The sequence below is a fragment of the Homo sapiens genome, chromosome 13 (genome assembly GCF_000001405.40).
Source record: "Homo sapiens chromosome 13, GRCh38.p14 Primary Assembly".
Classification (NCBI taxonomy): domain Eukaryota; kingdom Metazoa; phylum Chordata; class Mammalia; order Primates; family Hominidae; genus Homo; species Homo sapiens.
In genome coordinates, this window is record NC_000013.11 from 59833377 (window position 1) to 59856574 (window position 23198).

Sequence of the window (23198 nt, forward strand, 5' to 3'; positions counted from 1 at the left end):
TCCAAAATTCTAAAATTACTTCTAATAGTTGACCATTCTTAAAGTCAGTCTATACTACATAGCAACAAAATCTTAAATTCAATTTCCAATTAACTTTGGGAAATCATTAGAAAAGATTTATATATTTAATATTTCTCTTTAACAAGTTTAAAAAATCTTTCTTCCAACTTACTATAATAATATAATATGCAGATCATACAATATGATTTAAAATTATAGTTCAGTAGTTGCAGCTGAATAATTGCAATGATATTGAAATCAACAGTACAAGCATTAAACACAACAGTTAAATTGGACATCTTGGGATCAATTTCTAGCTCCTATACTTGGTAATAGTGTGCCTGTGGGCAAGTGCCTTCATGTCTCTGTGCTTCAATTTCCTCATCTGTAAAATGGGAACAATAATATCACCAACTCACAGGGCTATTGAGAGGACTAAATGAGCTAACACATGCAAAGTTCTCAGAAAAGTGGGCATTTAGTAGCACACAAAAATACTTGTTATCATCATCCCTCACTTATTTTAAACTTTAAGGTTCTAAAAGCAAACAAAATTTTAAGAGTTAAACTGAAAACTTCTCCCATTATCTAACCAAATTAGTGTTCCAACTTCTCTTAGAAAACTGGTATATAATTTCTTTATGCATTAGATTATTAAAAATTATGATTACACACACAGGCACACACATATAGAAACGTTCTTCTCTCACTCATGACAATATATTTCAAAACACACTGAAATTAAGAAGATGAATTTAATGTGAATGTGACAGCCACTGACATTAGAAAACATTTTCTAAATAAACAATGAAATTTTTTTTCTTGTGTGGCAAATTGCTAATGCAGTCAGATATAACATCACTATACCATATCCAGAAAAAATGATTCTTTTAGAGCATCACTCATAATTGCCTATGGCTCCTTTAAATTAACATTTAACGAAATGGAACATAGTTAAATTTGCAGAAGTCCTTTTACTAACTTTGACTAGCCATTAGCAAAATTTAAAACAAATAAAAAACAGTATTCAGGCAGGCCAAGAGAAAGAAGCTAAAAATGGAATTTTTATATCTAAAATTTTTTTGGCCCACAATTTCAAAAAGATATGGTTCTTCTGGCCAGAACTTACATCAGTAGAGGATGAAATAAGGAAACTGATGCAGGTCCTTTTCTTTGAGAAAAATAATGAAAGACCAAGGAAAAAAGAGACAGCACTACTGCCAGGTAGGGAGTAAATGTAGGCTAGCATATGAAAGAATTCTAATTCTTCATCATCATCTTCATCTAAAAGAAAATGCAAATGTAGTTAGCTGTCCTTGTGCAAACTGTTAAACTCCAACTTCTGTATTCGTCAAGAGCTTTGGAAAAATACGTGAGATACTCAACAAAATAAACATTTCATAAAATTCATTATAAAAATATTGATATAAGCCCAATTACTTGATGTTTTGGGAAATCTATTTTGTTTTCCTTTACCAACACTGAGGCCAAATTCTCATGAATTTCTACTAGAATCACTGTCATCTTCCCATTTGAGAGGTAGATAACAACCAGATCTGTGTTTACATGCATTGAACCACAAGTGTTAAGTGTTGGCCAGCTATGACTTGGAATTCTACTCCTGGTATGCCAGTATTGCTCATTACCAAACCACCTACCACAAATATATCCCACATTTATTTTTAGGTCATACTGCCTTTATTACAGTTCTGTCACTGAGGATGCCCATAACTTCCATTAACATACTTTATAAGGATCAGCATCATTCAGTCCTATGTGTCTAATATATTTCATAGACTTTCTTAAGTACACAGGATCCAGCAAGCCATTCAGTAAGTATTATCTGAGTTCCACTGTATTCTAGGCACTAGGAAAAACAGTAGCTAACAAGTCAGGCAAAGTCCTTGCTGTCAAGAAACATTTTAGAGTATGGAGACAGATAATAAACAAATGAATCAGATTTTTAACATAGTAATAAGTATGATGTAGAAAAAAAATATGATATTACGTAGAGTGACAGAGGTTAGGTAGTTAAAATCTTGGCTAAGAAAGTGAGATTGACTAAAACAACAGAGGCTTGACTGTTAAAGAGCAGTGAGCTGTCCATTGGGTAGTACTCCCTTGTAGGTATAAGACTTCAGAAAATGAAAAGATTATTATAAATTTGGGGACTCAGAGAGAATTAAGAACAGCACATTTAATGCTAGTTTTAAAAGTCTGCTAAGAAGGAATTAAGTGGAACACAGGCAAGAAAGAAAGAACAGAAGAAGAAAAGGAGAAGAAAGTGAGAAGACTAATTCAAGAGAAGAAAAATCTGCTACAATAAATCACCCAATTGCCCCACTTCCCACTCTTACAACTGGGCCGTGTATTATACAAGTTTACATTTCATCCATTCCAATCTTCTATTTTACTTCCTAGTCGCCACAGTTCAAAGTTCAACATACTAAATTCCTTTATCTGAAAAATGCTGTACATTATGCAGTGTAGAATATAGATATAAGTAAATCTTTCTCTCAATGAATTTACTGGGCTGGCTTTAGCATCTACCCAGTGATTTCAGAAGTTTCTAAAGCATTGCTATATAGAATAACACACAAAAAAAGTGTGAAAATAAAGTGGGATTTCAATGAACAAATTTAAAGAATATAACATGGAAAGGAGTCAAGTAACTTGTCACATAAGTTGTAATAAATACAGAAATATATAAATGTCTAGCAAAATAAGTTTTTCTGAAAGACTCAGGAGAGGGAGTAGGAAGAAAATAGAAAGGCAAGTGCTCAGGCAAGAAGAATTTCAAGTGCAATGCTCCAAATTCTATTTGTTCTTCTCCTTAAAATAAGACATATCACAGAATTTAAAGATCATGAGAAAGGAACAAGCACTACATGACACAAATCCTGGCATATTCTTAATTTTCTCACCGATAAAAATTTAGTAAGTACGTACACCTCACATATAATAGCTTGCATGTAACAATACTGATATACATTGAATTTGGTTTCACATTTTTCAAGCAAGTAGTTACTGTGGAAATATTCAATTCTAATTAAGGCTCTGACTAGACTTAGCAAGTGGGAGGTAATAATTATTACTAAAATGTCAATGATATTTGAAATAATAGTGCATCCTTTTTAAAGGATGCACTAAATTCAATTTTTTAATATTAAGCAGTATATGTAAAGAGTAAGCATACACAGAAAGAATAAAAATACAACATACTATCATCGAGTGCTATTAGTAAAATTTCACATTACAATAAAATTGTATCTTAATAATTTAAAACAATTCAATTAATTGATTTAACAGTTCACTAAATTATAATTATTTAAGTACGTACTTGTAAGATACATTGTTAACAAATTTAAAAATACACATATTCTTCCAGAATTGGTGAATGAACCAAACATTTGATATGTACCTCGATGAATAAGCATTTCAATGAAAAACATGAACAAAGTTTAAGTGGTTAATAACAAACTTTAAGTATATTTTATTCATTGTGCATTTTAGCTTCCAAATTCTTCAATTTTTTAACATCTAAGAAGCTCACAATTTGCCATTTTAATAAGATCTGTATAAATGCATTTAATATGCAAAATCTGACATGTCAGTCCTAATTAATGTAAACAAAGACTCGCAATGAATGAATTTAATTACTTCGAAACTAGTATGTCTAACTAAGATGAAAAGCAAACGAGTGCAATCTAATCTCAGCAAAGAATATTTATGATTATAAGCTTTGTCAATAGCAAAGTGCACCAACTGTTCATATATCTGACTTCCAAGAGATACATGAATGCTAATCAGTTCATTAGAGGCTTCTAGGTTGTGATATTTAATGACAGGATGTAGTAGCTTTCTTGTCCATGGAGTATAATTGTACTCAGAATGAAAAATTGTTTCCAACAAAGCATCATCCTTCCTGTTTCTGATTTCCTGCTGGTTGCTTTTTATGAGCCGCATACCTTTCAAGAAGCCGACATCATTCAGTTTCTTGTGTCATATAAATCCAAGTATAGATATGTCCTGAGATCGTGTGCTAAGCAAGATTCTACAACCTTTACTCCAAGCTCAGGAATTCATCTTGGTTCTATAAACCTGAGCTTCATAATTAGTGCATTCACAGTGTACTACCAGAAGCTACATGCAAGCAAAATCTTTTCTGAACTGCTTTATATCTATAGGGAACAATAATAAGTAGTTCAATTAACAGTACTTAGTTATTAACAAACTGTCACATATGAATATTTTAACATGATAAAATTAAGAAAAAAGCTAAGAATGATGAAACATATAACTGCAATAATATATTTATTTTAGAAAGCACACTTTGTCATATGAGAAGGTAGTACAAAAAAATTTTTGATGAATACAGATTTCACCTTTACTTAAAAAGAAAAAAAAAAAAAAAGCCTTACTCAGTAGGGTGATAAAGGCATCCTCCCTAATGAAATAAGAAACTGGATGGGTGGCAAGATACAAAAGGAAACAAACACGTTAGCCTGAATTGATTGTTGCTGGAGTATATTTTTATGATATTTCCCGACAGAGACAGTGAAGGAAGCTAAAACTCAACTAGTTCACAATTAAGCTGAAAGCATATACAATAAAATCTATGACAAGCCAAATATTAATTTTGTGATTCACTAAATCTCAGGAGAGAAGAGGTAGAAAGAGGAAAAATAGTCATTTTATTTCAAGTACCTCAGTTTAAGATATTAGGAGTGTCTATTTATAAGAGCTCATTTTAGAAGTGAGTTATCTTTCATACAGAATTCATTTGTCCATATGGGATTTTAATAATGCATTGTAGTAATATTTTATTACAACACAAAAGATATCAGTCTGTAATTTCATAAAATGGTTTGCAAAGCAACTCAACATTACTTTCAGGAAATAAAAGTTTATTACTTCAGTTACTCATTAGAGATTAAGCTACAAAGTTAGTGATAATAAAGATAATTGAATACAAAAGAAACCTTAAACAGGACACAAGCCTCATGCTATTAATTATATATGTGTGTGTGTGTGTGTGTGTATGTATATACACACATACATACCGATTTATTTGGGTTAGGAAAATATCAATACAAGTAGTGACTATAATAAACTCCATTTTGATTTTATAACCATCTAGTATTTCTAAAGGAAATATTAAATTTTATGGAGCACAAACTAATTTATAATATATGCCAATTCTTGAAGTTAAGCTGACTAGTTAAACACGTTTATGAAGTCTTGTATCTGCTTCCTCAGACATTTCAAAGGTATCTAAATCACATCATGAGTTTAGAGTCAAACTTCCTCAACCTGAGTTTTAATATCCTTTCAATTCATCATGTACATCAGAAGGAAATAAGGTATATGACAGGGAAAAGATGAGAGAACATACTATTATCTAAGCTGATAAAAAGGAAAAAAATAGAAATTAATGATCATACATTTGTGGGTGGGCGTGGTGGCTCACGCCTATAATCCCAGCACTTTGGGAGGCTGAGGCTGGCAGATCACTTGAGGTCAGGAGGTCGATACCAGTCTGGCGAATATGGTGAAACCCTGTCTCTACTAAAAATACAAAAAAATTAGCTGGGCATGGTGGTGCGTGCCTGTAGGCCCAGCTACTTGAGAGACTGAGGCAGGAGAATTGCTTGAACTTGGGAAGCAGAGGTTGCAGTGAGCCAAGATCATGCCACCGCACTCCAGCCTGGGTTTCAAAAAATAAATAAATAAATAAATAAACAAACAGACAGACAGACAGACATTTGTGTATTATTCATGATTGACAGACACTTTGATAAATTTCCCTGCAAGAAGGCAAAGGTTAAACTTTCTGTAATTTGGCACTACAGAATGATCTCTGGTTACACAAAGACATCTAAAATATTAAATAAATTGTATCTCTAGTTGACTAGTGACTTAAGTTATTTAGCTATCAAAAGGATATGGACATCTTTGTCACAAACTTGTCATGCAAGTCCTCAGGAGGGGGAAAGGTTTCCAATTCCTTCTCAAGCTGTTGAAGCTGCCTTCCCATCTGCCTCAAATTCTTTTCCAGCGTTTCTACAGAGACTAAAAGAGAGTATATTAAATGCCCGGAAAGGACAAAATTATAATATATAAAAGGTAAGACACCCTAGAAACAAAACATTCATGAAAACAACTCACAATAATGTAAGAAAATTCATTATAAAATAAAAATAAATTTCACTTTTAACCTTTCAATTTAAAATCTAGTTATAAAAGAAATTCAGTAAGACAGTCTTTAAAACGTAAGACAAAATTTAAGAAATGCTCACACACACAAATAAACCACACTTCAGAAATAAGTTTCATTAGAATTCTTGACCATTGGAAATACTACAAAATCATCAGTCTATTCAGAGACAAAAAGAAAACATTTTTTAAAATTGGACTGATTTAAATATAATTTGAACATTTTTCAAAATCATCTCTTGACAGGGAACAGTGAGTAGATGGGAAAGATGGGGAAAAGTGTTTTTTATTGTCCAAGCTTATCTACAATGGGAAAGAAAAGGTATCAGAGGCTACTTATAATGACAAATGTCAAGCTTTCTTTGCTGATATCCTGAACACAATTTGTGTTTATTATCTAATAATATTTTTCCTTCTTTGACTTAAAGTGGCTCTCACGGTACACATGAAGAAGAAATGGTAAACCAGGGCACTGTGTCACTATGAGAATATACTAGCCACCCAGCAGAACAGACATTAAGGATCATTTCTGAAAATCTTTTCATAGTCAATTTTATATGACACCAGGAAAAAGATTTAATAGTGCAAAAAGAAGATAGAGTGACCTAAACCAACTTTTAAAATATTTGCTTTAGGTACAAATGAATTCTAGGTTAAAAAAAAATCTATTGTTTTTGTTCAATGTGAACTATATAAAATGATGTTTAAAGAATGAATACAGTAATTCAAGGTAATCTGCCATTCTTAGGATTTGAATTAATCCTGAAGGATTTGAATTAATCCTGAAGAATGGGTGCAATTCAAGTTTTATCTATAAGGATAGGAATATCCTTGGAAGCAATCTAAATGCCCAACAAAATGAAACTGAGTTGTTTTTTTTTTAATTTTAGCTTGGTTCAAAAGAATAAAATAGTAAGGAGACATTAAAAATAATGTGTAAGAATATGAAATGGTGTTTTATTGTTTTTTTAACCTGGTTGTACAGAAAATAACATTTGGTATTCTGACATTAACAGCTTTTAATAAAACCTAAATGTATTTTCTTATTTTAAAAAATTAGCAATCTAATTCTCAGATGCAACGTTTAAGGAGTCCAATGATTGAACTCTTCCGAGAACCACATATAATACTTGTTTGTGCTTGAAGAGTGATGGTACTTTAACTGTTTGCTCCCACTATGATGAAGCTAGTCTGGATTTACACTCATGCATATTTTCTCAGTAGGTTTTTTTTTTCCTTCTCACGTATTCCCTTTCTGTGATACTTTGAATTTACACACTAAATGCTATAATAATACACACTATTATCTGAGTCATTGTCTCAAATTTAAGAATCACATATTCTTACCTTTTTAACTATTTAAATTATTCCAATACCTTGCTGTGCATTGCTCATAGTGGTAACATATATTTCCTATGTTATACTCTTTCATTTTTATGTCTGCTTGTCAATTATCCACAACCAAGATTCTATTTGATTAGGCCAATGGTGTTTCATTTACTCTTCCCGTTTCCAACTTTTTTCTTTGCTTCTTTCAAAGTTCTCTATCTGCATTACATAAGAGATTCCTTTTGCTCTCCTAGTCTATTTGATCTCTCCCTTAAAGTCTCATTAGCATTTCCTCTATCATTTTTCAAGAACTCTTACAGGTGGTTCAGTCACTTTTTATACTTCCTAAAACTCTGCAACTTCTGACTAAATAAAGGTTCAAAAGCAAGCTGGGCATGGTGATGCACATCTGTAATCCTAGCACTTTAGGAGCTGAGGTAGGAGGATCAACTTGAAGCCAGGAGTTCAAGACCAGCCTGGACAACAACAAGACTCTGTGCCTCCAAAAATTAAAAAAAAAAAATTAGCCAGCCATGGTGGCATGTGCCTGTAGTCCCAGCTAATATGGAGGCTGAGGTGGGAAAATTGCTTGATCCCAGAAGTTTGAAGCTACAGTGACCAGTCATGGCACCAATGCACCACAGCCTGAGTGACAGAGCAAGACCCTGTCTCTTTTATTAAGTAAATACATGCTCAGAAATGTTTATAAGCCATACATCTACTTTGTGCTATAAATTAGGTTCAAAAAAGTAGTGTATTAGTAGTATAATGGTAGCAGTAATTGTTATATTAGTAGCAGTGACAATAAAAATAATAGTAATGGTAATAACAACATCTAAAATGTGGTAAGTGTTTATGTATGTCAGGTACCGTCTTAAGTGTTTTCTATTAATTAACTCATGCAATCCTCACCAGAACATCATGAAGTAGGCATTATTATTATTCCTATTTTACAGATGAGGAAACTGGAGCTCAGTAGGTAAGTAAAAAGGTCAAATTAAAAATTGGTGAAGCTAGAATTTGAATTCAAGCAGTTTCATTCCAGACCTTATTTTTAACCACTGTGTTATATATAAATTATTATAGAAATTACCATTTTGTTTTCATAACCCCTGTCAGTAACATTTAAATAAACAGATATAATTTTCACATAATAAGGGGTTTCTTGTACATTCTTGCCCATTGCAATCACAAGCAATCCATATTCCCTGCCTAAACCCAGGGAATATATGCCTAAGCATTCTGGATGGACGGGTGAGTGTGCAGTTATATATATATAACTTTTTATATATGTATTTATTTTTAAGTACTATATATATTAAAGTGGTATCTCACCTTGAACAAAACCACATACTTAAAATACTTAGTCTGCTCAACCAATTTTATTATGCACACATGTCAAATTAGCAAAAGATCTAGAGAACAGACCAATAGGTCTGAGGGACTCCCATATGAGAAAAAGCACAGGGCAAATGTTGGGAGGGAACATAGATTGTTTGATTTTTTCTCTGACACCAAATACATTGTTCCAACACCAATCAATTGTCTAATTCTCCAATACCAACTGGGTGTCCTACAATTGGAGTTAGTGCAGACTCCATAAGTTAAGGAGAAAATCCTTCAATTCCGATACTAACTACCCAGATTTAGTGTCAGGCTGTACAGGTAGAAGGGCTCACTCCCACAAAACTACCCTCATTTCAGATGCCAGTTGCCAGTCTAGAGGACCACTCTAGACTGACTCGCTATAAATCTGGGGATTCCCAAAACTCCCTTCCCTGAAGTTCCACAATTCACTAGAATGACTCACAGAAATCAGGAAAGCACTATACTTATGATTGTAGCTTTATTATGAAGGACACAACCCATGAACAACCAAACGGAAGAGAGGTACAGGACAAGGAATGGTGGGACGGGGGTGGTGCACAGTTTCACTGCCCTTCCAGCACTTCCACCCTCCAAGCACATCCATGTGTTACCAACCCAGAAGCTCCCCCAACCTCTTTCAGTCTTTATTGAAGCCTCATTACAAAGGCACTATTGATTAAATCACTGGCATTTGTGATTGAGCTCAATCTTCAGCCCCTCTCGCACCCATACATTGGGTATAAGCCCACAGTTCTAACCCTTTAATCGTATGTTTACTACTTCTAGAAACCAGTCTTCATCCTGAAGCTATACCCCTACCTGTCTTTAGTCACTACATTAACATACAAAATATGTGTCACTCAGGAAATTCCAAAACTTCTAGGAGCTTCGTGTCAGGAACCAGGGGGCAAAGACCAAATATTTACTTTTCATTGTACCGTATGGATATAGAAGTACATGTCTGGTCAGAGGGCAGAATTCCAGTAGGGAGGTGTAAGAGAAGCACATTTTTGGCTCATTCTCAGAGGTGCCTAAAGTCTAGGCTGCCCTCAGAGGAAGCCAGCTACTGGTAACTGAAGATAGAGCTACCCCAATGAGTGAGTGCTTCTCAGCTAGGTGGGAGAGGGACTTAGTCCACTGGATAAAAGGCCTGTGACTTTTCCAATTCTGTGGTTGTCAGTGGGTCAGGAACTATGCTCTTTATGATTGGAAGCAATTTCTCCTGGGCTTGATTTCCACATTAGTGAAATGAGAAGGATCTCACCGCGTATTTTTACCTCACAGACATTTCATAAAGAGTAAGCAAGCTATCTTCAAAAAAATAAAATGGTTCTTGAGGCTACTCTACAGATGCAAATCTCACTAAGCCATTTCTTGTGCTTCACCAGAAGTCTCTGATTATTTGCACATTATTTGCACATTATGGTTAAGCAGATTTAAATGTAATTGACCAACCTCTCACTTGGTTTTTAAATAAGGACCAACACACACTTGGAAGAAAGAAAGCAGCGTGAGAATTCTGGGCTAAGAAAATGTATGCCATCTGATGGGTAAAACTAAAGAGCATTTTAAGAATTCCCTTGCTGTATTTATAAGTCGGATCTGAATAATGGGAACACATGGACACAGGGAGGGGAACAACACACAGTGGAGCCTGTATGAGTGGCGGGCAGGAGGAGGGAGAGAATCAGGAAAAATAGCTAATGCATGGCAGGCTTAATACCTAGGTAATGGGTTTATAGATGCAGCAAACCACCATGGCATACGTTTACCTATGTAACAAACCTGCACATCCTACACATATATCCCAGAACTTAAAAAAAAAAAAAAAGAATTCCCTTGGTGTTTTTATTTTTTCAGCAATTATTCTATTTCTATAGACAATTCTTGTATGTATCTTCAAACATAATTTTAGCCACATTTTTCACATGTATCAGGTTCTTTGAGGTCAGGAACTATATTTTATGTCTTAAAAATCTTAACTATATCCAGATCACGAGGTCAGGACATCGAGACCATCCTAGCTAACACGGGGAAACCCCGTCTCTACTAAAAATATAAAAAATTAGCCAGGCGTGGTGGCGAGCGCCTGTAGTCCCACCTACTCAGGAGGTTGAGGCAGGAGAATGGCATGAACCCGGGAGGCAAAGCTTGCAGTGAGCTGAGATCGCGCCACTGCACTCCAGCCTGGGTGACGGAGCGAGACTCCATCCCAAAAAAAAAAAAAAGGAAAAAACAAAACAAAACAAAAACTATATCAGGGAGTATTAAATTGTACACTCTTAAAGAATTTTTAATTTACTGGTGTCTCTGTATGTGACCTATGTGTGAATTTTATCTTTCAATCTTCTCACCAAGAAATTAATCATATTTTTTGTATTCCTGTTCATTCTTTGGAAGAAAACTAACAAAACAGAGCCATCATCAAACAGAGCTAGCTAGACAATTTTGACTTTTGCATTTTCCTCAGTTAACATTCCACCAGATGACATCTCTCAGTCACTTCAGACATCATGTGTCTCTATCTCCAACCTGCTCCCTATGTGTAATCTCCATACCACAGAAGGCAAAAGGACCATAAATCCCATTTCTTGTGCTAGAAACCTGCTGGTCTTGACCCTTTCCTCTCTTGCAATTCTCAGATTCAAACAATCATGACACTCAGGCATTTTACTTGACAAATAGTACTTAATTCCTTCCTGACTTAACACCTTTTTTTCTTTCTCTTTTTTTTTGAGACACCATTTTTTTCCTTTTTCCTTTTTTTTCTTTTTGAGATGGAGTCTCACTCTGTTGCCCAGGCTGGAGTGCACTGGTGTGATCTCGGCTCACTGCAAACTCCGCCTCCTGGGTTCAAGCAATTCTCCTGCCTCAGTCTCCTGAGTAGCTAGGATTATAGGCATAAACCACCACCTGGCTTATTTTTGTATTTTTAGTAGAGACGGGGTTTCACCATGTTAGTCAGGCTGGTCTTGAACTCCTGACCTCATGATCTGCCTGCCTTGGACTCCCAAAGTGTTGGAATTACAGGTGTGAGCCACCGCGCCTGGCTGACTTAACACTTTTAAAGTCATAGGGAACCCTTTTGTCTTCTCTGATCTCTGGTCTCCTACAGTTTTTCTCCAGCGTCATTTTCACACTGTGCATAGGGGTTTCCAGACAATCAGTAAAGCTGCCCCTTTCCTGTTCAATGCATGTCAGTAAACTGGTTACATAACATCTGAGTTCCTAAACAAAGCCCCACCTACAACCTGGGGTGCTCTACTTCATATCCTGCCAAATATTCATCTCCAAAATACATACTGCTTATAGTTCCCCTGCCCATATCCCTCTTCATCTAATCTGTACCTGATCCTGGAAATAATGTGTGTCTATCTGCCTTGTGCACTTCACCCCTGGGTCATAACCATTCATAATTTACAAGGAATCAAAAACTACAGCAAGTACACAGGTAAAGTGCCCTTTCTCCCAATCACAACTAGTAATTATCTCTATCTTTGCAATTACTACTCTCTATTTACATTTATCTTTTTATCTGTCTTCCTCTCCCAAATGGCTGGGAATTCCTTAAGATAAGACACCATTCATCTTTGTATTTTCGTTACAAAACATATTGCAGATACCCAAATGTTTGCTGAAGGAATGGGTTTTGGATTTAACTTTAACCTCGCCAGATAAGAGCGTTAAAAATGAAACAGGAAAATATAACAGATTAAATATCCCAGACATTAAAATCAAAGACACAGGCTTTCCTCCAAGTGTCTTATTATTATGATAATTATACACCAGAGGTGTTAAAGAAGCTTTAGAGTAAAAGTTAAAATCGAAACTATAAATATTTAAGTTTAAAGCAGTCATGAATACATGCTTTTTATAACACCATGGCCTCTATGATTTACTAGATTAAGATTTCAAGTAAGAAAGGAGAGGTTACATAATCTTTGTAATTAAAAAAAAAAATCCTCTATGAATATCTCCTGGAGGTGTTGGTCATTATTTCATAATAAGCTTACTAAAAAATGCCACACTCACTCTTACACATCATGATACAATCCAGGGAAATTGATTTCTTTAAGGAAAGCTTAAAGAACAACTTATTACCATAGACAATTTAAACATGCAAACTAAATCAAACCTTCCTACACTCATAGAATCAATTGTTTCATGTGCAAAATTATTTAGTTTCAGGCTCCAAGCAATATATTTCTTCCTAGACAACTGTAATAATAAAAGCATTTTATAAAGCTATAGCAACATTTTATAAATGCAAGTTAAAATAATAAAATTGTATGGACAAGGTGGTCCAAAACAAACCTCAGTAGTATAAAAAAAAATCTTGACTATTAAGTAGGTCTACAACAAAACCTAAATTCTAGAATACCATTATAAAATCCATTACATGACAAAAAGATACAAAACTAAAACAATACTGAAAAAAAATCAAAGTAAAAATAAATTGTAGCTTAGTTCGTAACAGGCAAAGATAAATTGAAAGAAACTGTGCTGCCGGGTGCAGTGGTTCACTCCTGTAATCTCAGCACTTTGGGAGGCTGAGGTGAGAGGATCACTTGAGGCCAGGGGTTTGAGACCAGACTGGGCAACACAGTGAAACCCCATCTCTATAAATTTTTTTAAAAAGATTAGCCAGGGGTAGTGGTGCCTGCCTATACTCCTAGTTACCCAGGAGGCTGAGGCAGGAAGATAGCTTGAGCCCAGGAATTTGAAGTTACAGTAAGCAATGATTGCATCACTGCACTCCAACCTGGGCGACAGAGGGAGATCTTGTCTCAAAAAAAAGAAAGACAAAGGAGCAATGCTAAGTGAACAGCCAGTCATCCTCATCAAGTAGTTGTACCTTCCTTGACTTACCTGACTCAGATCTTCTTTCTTCCCATTGTTCTGATTCTTGATGGAACCCCAGGTAATAACAAATGGAATTTGCATTCCTTAATTAATTTACTATACTGTATGCAATGATGGTTTAATTTTTGTTGTTTTTACATAATACTGCAAGAGAAATGCCTTCATCTGCTATGGAACATGGAAAGAAGAAAGGGAGAAGGCAAGTAGAGGAAATGAATACAACCAATTAAAGGCCCCCAGTCAATTCTGTTGAGCTATTTCATCCCCTGAAAGAAAGAGCCAGCCCTGTCCTTTACAAGTACAAAGAGGGTATTAAAGGCGGCAGCCTTTTAGAAGAGAAAGTGTATTAGTGGGAGAAGCCCATCTCAAAGGAAATCATGTTTACCTATAAGATTTCAGAATTCCCTTAGATAAGATGTTCAAAACCATGGTATAAATATTACATAAGAGGTGCATAACAGAAATGTTTAATAACAATATTCAAAATGTTCCCTTAGTATAATGGTTCTGTGTACATGTACATGGGAGGGCAATTTTACTGCTTTTTACTTTGTCACAGGGGAAATGTTAAGCACAGACTGACTGACTTTCAAGTAAGACTAGTTTTCACTTGCTGCTATTGGAGACCAGGTCAGCCTCACAATTCCAAGATTGTGTATTAGCTGGACTTCAAAAAAGTCCAAATTTTTTCTCAAGCCTAGATCCTTCCCCTGAACTCCAATGGCCTATTTGGACATGTTTCCTTAATATTTAGCTGGCACCTTAAACTCACTTTTCCAATTAGAATTTATCTTCCTCCTTGACTTGCCCCTACATCGCAGTAAATCATTAGTTTTTATAACTCTTTTCTCTTTCATGCCGCACACATCTAACCATAGAGCGCATCTTGCTGGTTCTAACCTCAAAATGCATTCGTTTTCCAAATACTTCTTACCACCCTCACTACTCTTCCCGATCCAAGCCAACATTATTCCTCCTCTAGATTATTTTAACAGCATCAGAGTGGTTTTACTCATTCTACCATTATTCATCTACACTTTTTCCTCAACAGAGCAGCCAAAGCAATCCTTTGAAAATTTAAGTCAGATGTCACTCTTTTGCTCAAAACCTTCCGTGGCTTTTGAGTGGCTCCTCATCTCAGAGTAAAGTCAAATCTTTTTTTTTTTTTTTTTAATTATTATACTTTAAGTTTTAGGGTACATGTGCACATTGTGCAGGTTAGTTACATATGCATACATGTGCCATGCTGGTGCGCTGCACCCACTAACTCGTCATCTAGCCTTAGGTATATCTCCCAGTGCTATCCCTCCCCGCTCCCCCCACCCCACCACAGTCCCCAGAGTGTGATATTCCCCTTCATGTGTCCATGTGATCTCATTGTTCAATTCCCACCTATGAGTGAGAATATGCGGTGTTTGGTTTTTTGTTCTTGCGATAGTTTACTGAGAATGATGATTTCCAATTTCATCCATGTCCCTACAAAGGATATGAACTCATCATTTTTTATGGCTGCATAGTATTCCATGGTGTATATGTGCCACATTTTCTTAATCCAGTCTATCATTGTTGGACATTTGGGTTGGTTCCAAGTCTTTGCTATTGTGAATAATGCCGCAATAAACATACGTGTGCATGTGTCTTTATAGCAGCATGATTTATAGTCCTTTGGGTATATACCCAGTAATGGGATGGCTGGGTCAAATGGTATTTCTAGTTCTAGATCCCTGAGGAATCGCCACACTGACTTCCACAATGGTTGAACTAGTTTACAGTCCCACCAACAGTGTAAAAGTGTTCCTATTTCTCCACATCCTCTCCAGCACCTGTTGTTTCCTGACTTTTTAATGATTGCCATTCTAACTGGTGTGAGATGATATCTCATAGTGGTTTTGATTTGCATTTCTCTGATGGCCAGTGATGATGAGCATTTTTTCATGTGTTTTTTGGCTGCATAAATGTCTTCTTTTGAGAAGTGTCTGTTCATGTCCTTCGCCCACTTTTTGATGGGGTTGTTTGTTTTTTTCTTGTAAATTTGTTTGAGTTCATTGTAGATTCTGGATATTAGCCCTTTGTCAGATGAGTAGGTTGCGAAAATTTTCTCCCATTTTGTAGGTTGCCTGTTCACTCTGATGGTAGTTTCTTTTGCTGTGCAGAAGCTCTTTAGTTTAATTAGATCCCATTTGTCAATTTTGGCTTTTGTTGCCATTGCTTTTGGTGTTTTGGACATGAAGTCCTTGCCCATGCCTATGTCCTGAATGGTAATGCCTAGGTTTTCTTCTAGGGTTTTTATGGTTTTAGGTCTAACGTTTAAATCTTTAATCCATCTTGAATTGATTTTTGTATAAGGTGTAAGGAAGGGATCCAGTTTCAGCTTTCTCCATATGGCTAGCCAGTTTTCCCAGCACCATTTATTAAATAGGGAATCCTTTCCCCATTGCTTGTTTTTCTCAGGTTTGTCAAAGATCAGATAGTTGTAGGTATGCGGCGTTATTTCTGAGGGCTCTGTTCTGTTCCATTGATCTATATCTCTGTTTTGGTACCAGTACCATGCTGTTTTGGTTACTGTAGCCTTGTAGTATAGTTTGAAGTCAGGTAGTGTGATGCCTCCAGCTTTGTTCTTTTGGCTTAGGATTGACTTGGCGATGCGGGCTCTTTTTTGGTTCCATATGAACTTTAAAGTAGTTTTTTCCAATTATGTGAAGAAAGTCATTGGTAGCTTGATGGGGATGGCATTGAATCTGTAAATTACCTTGGGCAGTATGGCCATTTTCACGATATTGAGTCTTCCTACCCATGAGCATGGAATGTTCTTCCATTTGTTTGTATCCTCTTTTATTTCCTTGAGCAGTGGTTTGTAGTTCTCCTTGAAGAGGTCCTTCACATCCCTTGTAAGTTGGATTCCTAGGTATTTTATTCTCTTTGAAGCAATTGTGAATGGGAGTTCACTCATGATTTGGCTCTCTGTTTGTCTGTTGTTGGTGTATAAGAATGCTTATTGATTTTTGTACATTGATTTTGTATCCTGAGACTTTGCTGAAGTTGCTTCTCAGCTTAAGGAGATTTTGGGCTGAGACGATGGGGTTTTCTAGATAAACAATCATGTCGTCTGCAAACAGGGACAATTTGACTTCCTCTTTTCCTAATTGAATACCCTTTATTTCCTTCTCCTGCCTGATTGGCCTGGCCAGAACTTCCAACACTATGTTGAATAGGAGCGGTGAGAGAGGGCATCCCTGTCTTGTGCCAGTTTTCAAAGGGAATGCTTCCAGTTTTTGCCCATTCAGTATGATATTGGCTGTGGGTCTGTCATAGACAGCTCTTATTATTTTGAAATACGTCCCATCAATACCTAATTTATTGAGAGTTTTTAGCATGAAGGGTTGTTGAATTTTGTCAAAGGCTTTTTCTGCATCTATTGAGATAATCATGTGGTTTTTGTCTTTGGCTCTGTTTATATGCTGGATTACATTTATTGATTTGCGTATATTGAACCAGCCTTGCATCCCAGGGATGAAGCCCACTTGATCATGATAAAGGGGATATCACCACTGATCCCACAGAAATACAAACTACCATCAGAGAATACTACAAACACCTCTACGCAAATAAACTAGAAAATCTAGAAGAAATGGATACATTCCTCGACACATACACTCTCCCAAGACTAAACCAGGAAGAAGTTCAATCTCTGAATAGACCAATAACAGGAGCTGAAATTGGGGCAATAATCAATAGTTTACCAACCAAAAAGAGTCCAGGACCAGATGGATTCACAGCCGAATTCTACCAGAGGTACAAGGAGGAACTGGTACCATTCCTTCTGAAACTATTCCAATCAATAGAAAAAGAGGGAACCCTCCCTAACTCATTTTATGAGGCCAGCATCATTCTGATACCAAAGCCGGGCAGAGACACAACCAAAAAAGAGAATTTTAGACCAATATCCTTGATGAACATTGATGCAAAACTCCTCAATAAAATACTGGCAAACCGAATCCAGTAGCACATCAAAAAGCTTATCCACCATGATCAAGTCAAATCTTTACAATGGACAGTAATGCCCTACAGGATCTATTACCTTTCTGACCTTATCTCCTATTATGCTCCCCCTCTCTCCCTCTGCTCCAGTCTCACTTCCATACCTTGAGGCCTTTACACTTGCTTTTCCCTTTGCCTGGAATAGTCTTCTCTCAAATACCAACATAAATGGCCTCTCTACGACTCTTTTATGTTTTTCTCAAAGACCACTTTCTCTACAGGACCTTTTCTGACCACTCAATCTAAAACTGCAAAAAACCCTGCCCTGGCATGCCAGAGTCAGACATAAGACATACATTGACTTCTTTCATTGGCTTGGTTCTATATCTGCCACCTAAAATGTAAACTTCAAGAAAGCAGAGGCTTTTGTTTTTACAGCTCTTTGGTGCCTTGGAATGGATGAGGTATTCAGTAAATGACTGATTCAACAATGAATAGATGAATCTTTTTTTTTTTTTTTTTTTTTTGAGACAGCGTTTCGCTCTTTGCCCAGGTTGGAGCGCAATGGCGCAACCTCCGCCTCCCGGGTCCAAGTGATTCTCCTATCTCAGCCTCCCCAGTAGCTGATATTACACACATGCACCACCACGCCCAGTTTTTTGTATTTTTAGTAGAGACGGGGTTTCACCATGTTGGCCAGGATGGTCTCAATCTCTTGACCTCATGATCCGCACGCCTCGGCCTCCCAAAGTGCTGGGATTACAGGCGTGAGCCATGGCGCCCAGCCAAATAGATGAATCTTATTTAAACTAACTTTATTTTTTTTTTTCTGTCACTCACAGTCAAGCCTAATCCTTGCTAATACAAGTGCCTAGCACAATGCCTACCAAACAGGAGTTCAATAAGCTGTTTTGAGAGTCCTTTCCTTATAGAGTCAAAACATATCAAAAACTACTAATTAACACTAGCTCTTTTTTCCATAAAATATGGTTTGAAAGATAGCTGCCAAGAAGCCACCATCACAGTGGTAGACACTTATATGACAAAAGGGTCTCACTGCTGATCAATTTTAAATCTATACTTAAAGGTGATCTCTTCTGAGGGGAGAAAGGACGATTACCCAATATCTTATTTTCTTTAGGTTTTCCTATGAGCGTGAATAAATATTATTTTAGATTTTCCTAGCACTTATATCATTTCTCATAAAGTAGTTCATATTTCCATATGGCATTCCTTCATAATTCTTGGCTGAAATGAAAAAATTTCTTTTTTAAATTCATGCATCACCTCCAGAAAAATAAACTCAGAGTTGAAGAGTTGCTGGAGACCAGTTGTTTTCAAAGGTTGTTTAGTACTAGAACTCCGTTTTCAAAAGAAATCTTATGTCAAAGTTCAAAATACAAAATAACGTGTTGCAGGCTGAAGCAGAGGCAGAAAAATAGAACTCATTTTCCAAATTCCATTCCCTATGTTAGTATGTCCAACTCGTAAAAATGCATTGAGCTGTACACTTATGATCCTGTACACTTATGTAACTGCATGTGTATTATTCTTTAATTTTTAGAAAAGTACCAACATTTTTAGAAAACTACTAACATAAGCCTACAAAATTTGCAGTCGTTATGTTCTAAAGTTTGAATAAGCTTCAGGCAACACACAGTTGGAATCTGTTCAAATTTCTGACAATACATATTAAAATTCTATACTAACACATTATTCACATAGACTCATGTTTACCTGCACTGTTAATGACAGGCAGATGTGTGCCAACAATAAATAATCACGGAAAAATAACACCCACACTATAAGAAACATGGAGAATATTTATATAATGATTAATAGGTACTTTTCAAACTTGATAAACATTTGTACATATTAACCTATTTAATCCTCACAACAAACATCTGGGTTAAGTACTAATATTGCACCCATTTTATAGGTAGGAAAAGGGAAGCTCAGACAGAATAAGAAACTTGTCTAAGATTATACCTATAACAAGCTGGGGTTTCAACTCCAGGTGAACCAGTTACCTAACCTCAGAGTCCATGGTCCAGATAACAGTTTCTCCTATCATATAATGTTTCTATAATCTAATTGCAAACACATTTTTAATTTTGCCCACTAAAATCACTTATTACAGTTATTGCTGTTATCATGGCCTATCAATAAAAAAATTCCTTAAATTCACAGGCTGATATGGTTTGGATTTGTGTCCCCTCCCAAATCTCACGTTGAATTGTGATCCCCAGTGTTAAAGAAGGGCACTGATAGGAGGTGATTGGATCATGGTGGTGAGTTTTCCTCTTGCTGTTCTCATGATAGTGAGTGAGTTTTCACGAGATCTGGTTGTTTAAAAGTGTGCAGCACCTCTCCCTGCACTCTCTTCCTCCTTCTCCAGCCATGTAAGATGTGCGTGCTGCTCCTTTGCCGTCTGCCATGATTGTAAGTTTTCTGAGTCCTCCCCAGCCATTCTTCCTGTATAGCCTGTGTAACTGCGAGCCACTTAAACCACTTTTCTTTATAAATTACTCGGTCTCAGGTAGCTCTTTGTAACTATGCAAAAACGGACTAATACAAAGGCATACAATAATTTCAGTTTTAACTGGTTTAGTATTTTCACACAATGACAAAGAAAAGGGTATTTCTGAAGCATATTAACAATAACTTTAAAAACCAAACTATTTCACAATTTAATGATACATGCTTTCCAGATATGCTTATTAGTATAATTTCCATGCACTGTTTCATAATACTCAAAGATGACAGTGCTATCTCCATGCAGTTATAGGACTTATGCCAAAGATGACTGTAGTGGGTGAGTAGTGCCCCCCAAAAATGCATATCCACCCAGAACCTCAGAATGTGACTTATTTGGAAATAGGAACTTTGCAGATGAAATTAGTTAAGGATCTTGAGATGAAATCATCCTGTGACTGACATCATCCAATGACTAGTGTCCATAAGCAGAGGTGAGGACCCCGAGAGACATGGAGAAGATGGTGAGAAGATGCAGGCAGAGAGTGGAGTGATGCATCTACAAGCCAAGGAACACGAAGGACTCTGAGTAGCCACTAGAAGCTGGAAGAGAAGCATGGATGCTTCCTCCCCTGGAGTCTTCTGAAGATGCCAACCCTACTAATACTATGATTTCAGAGACTTTAGTGAGAGACTTAATTTCTGTTGTTTACAGGCACTCAGTTTGTGGTAATTGGTTATGGCAGCCCTAACAAACCAATACAACTACTAATTCAAGATTCTGTAAGATGCATAAATACATTCTGGTTTCTGGAGAGCAGCTGACAATTCTACCTGCAGCATTTGATTATCTCCATACCTCTTCCCCCAATTGGTTACATGTCAACCTTGTCTCCAACAAGATTCATAAGATTGCCATTAATGTGTTTGCTCTATCTACTGCTTAGGTTTCTTTGTAGTACACAGATTTGTTATGTTAAACTGTCCTTCAGAATATACTATTCTGAAATTTTCTTTCACCTACTTCATATTGCAAAACTAAGGTGCAGTAAATATTGCTTTACAGCCACAAGTGTAAGAGAGTTCTAAAACCTTGGTCATCACTGGTGATACTGTCCTGTTACTTGATGTTCGCTATAGTTCATAGGTGACACTGACAGAACTGCTCAAGTAGCTACTTCAAATCCGTAGCTGGCCCAAAATCTGCAAACACTGTAAACTGTTAGTTTCTCGAAAAGATTAATGATGTATTGATGACACTTTCAGCCTGTTAACCTCCAAAAAGATATAGAGGTCTTCCTGATGTGGTTTTCTTCTTCATCATCATCTATTAGCCCAAGCCACAGCAGATTCAGGAAATGTTCCTAGCTCAGTATCTCAAAAAGCAATCTTTAGCTGCAAGTAGTTCCTCTGTGCCCAGTGTTCTTTAATGTCAATCTACAGAATCCTTAATCCTTCTAGTGATTTTTGGGACATTCTCTTTCTATTCCACTCTGCTGCTTTCCAACACAGTTTATATTTGCACTGCAAAATGATTACTCTTACAATCTCATATCCAAGTCTACAACTTAAACTTTTCATGCCAACTCTATACAGATAATCCCTGGAAATAAACTGGCAGGATTTAAATATGTGGTCTCTTACCACTATACCACACTTGCAATACACTACAAATATTTTTCACAAATCCTGTAATTACCTTGGGAATGGCCCAGTTATATCTCATCATACCTTTTTGTGAAAAAAGTATTAATTTATTGAACATAAAATTGTACATATTCTAACATTTTGGTAAGTATATGCAAACATATATAAATTATATTTTAAAAATAAATTTAACTTTTATTATATTTGGCTTATATTAACATTAAAATTATTTTAGAATTCCTAAGTATACTTACTAAATATAAATGTAAAGTATACTAATGTATGCTTTAGAATTCCTAAGTAAATTCCTAAGTATACTTACTAGATGACTGCAGATAGTCAAATTAGTTCCCTGAGACATAAAACCATTAGGAGTCATAAGCTGGCTTTACGAACATAGGTTTTACTCCACAGTCTATCTGTAGAACCAGCACTACACAACTTGGATATACTAAATACTTTCATTATTCCCACAGGAAAATGAAAAAAAAAAAGTAACATCATCCACCTATGCCTTACTTTTGGAAAGGTGTCAAGAGATAACTCAGAGTGTTACTAATGTTTATCAGTTACCTGCTTATATGAAAATTACAACTATTATAGTAGCAAAACAGGGAGAAATGGAAAAGAAACATATATATATTTATGGATATATATATATATGGATATAGTGAGTAAAAGAAAAAGACAAAACAAAAACTTGGTATAGTATGATTAACTGTATTCTAAAACAAAATCTAGGAAATGCCGTAGATCTAATCCTGAAATTAAATGAGAATTTTCATGAATATATTTATTTAAAATGCCTTAATATATCCTTATACATGTACTACTTTATGTTTCATGTCTACTCAAAAGAGGAATTGAAGCATACTTGCAATTATTTCAAAACATCTGATAATTCAGTTTGTAGAAGAATCTTTGATATTTCTAAATTGATTACTAGTGCACATCCAACACAGCAGCTCTACAACTGCTACTTCAACTGATTTGATAAAGTGAAAAACCATTCAGTATAGGCTACTGTATTCTATAGCCAAAGACCACTAAGCAAATGAGAAAAATGTCTTAAGTTAGTATATTAGTTTGCTAGGGCTGCCTTCATAAAATACCCCAGGCTGAGTGGCTTAAACAACAGAAATTCATTTCCTCAATTCTGGAGGCCAGAAGTCCAAGATCAAGGTGTTGGCAGAGTTGGTTTCCTCTGAGGGGCATAAGGAAATGATTTGCTCCAGGCCCCTCCCCATGGCTTGCAGATGGCCACCTCCTCACTGTGTCTTCACATGGTCTATCCTCTGTACATGTACATTCCTGAATGGCTG

The 23198-nt window shown here is 36.0% G+C and overlaps 1 protein-coding gene across 13 annotated transcripts in view; it reads right to left on the reverse strand.

The window, feature by feature from the left end:
- The window catches only part of DIAPH3 (diaphanous related formin 3), a 498346-nt gene that overhangs the window by 167794 nt on the left and 307354 nt on the right, over positions 1-23198 (reverse strand). For all 13 annotated transcript variants that reach the window (XR_002957478.1, XR_002957480.1, XR_941672.1 and 10 more), the window contains one exon: positions 5948-6072. Coding sequence is in view for 9 of the 13 variants with exons in the window: in NM_001258368.2 (NP_001245297.1) it covers positions 5948-6072 (125 nt within the window). In the remaining 4 variants the exon portion in view is untranslated. The remainder of the gene's footprint in view (positions 1-5947; positions 6073-23198) is intronic.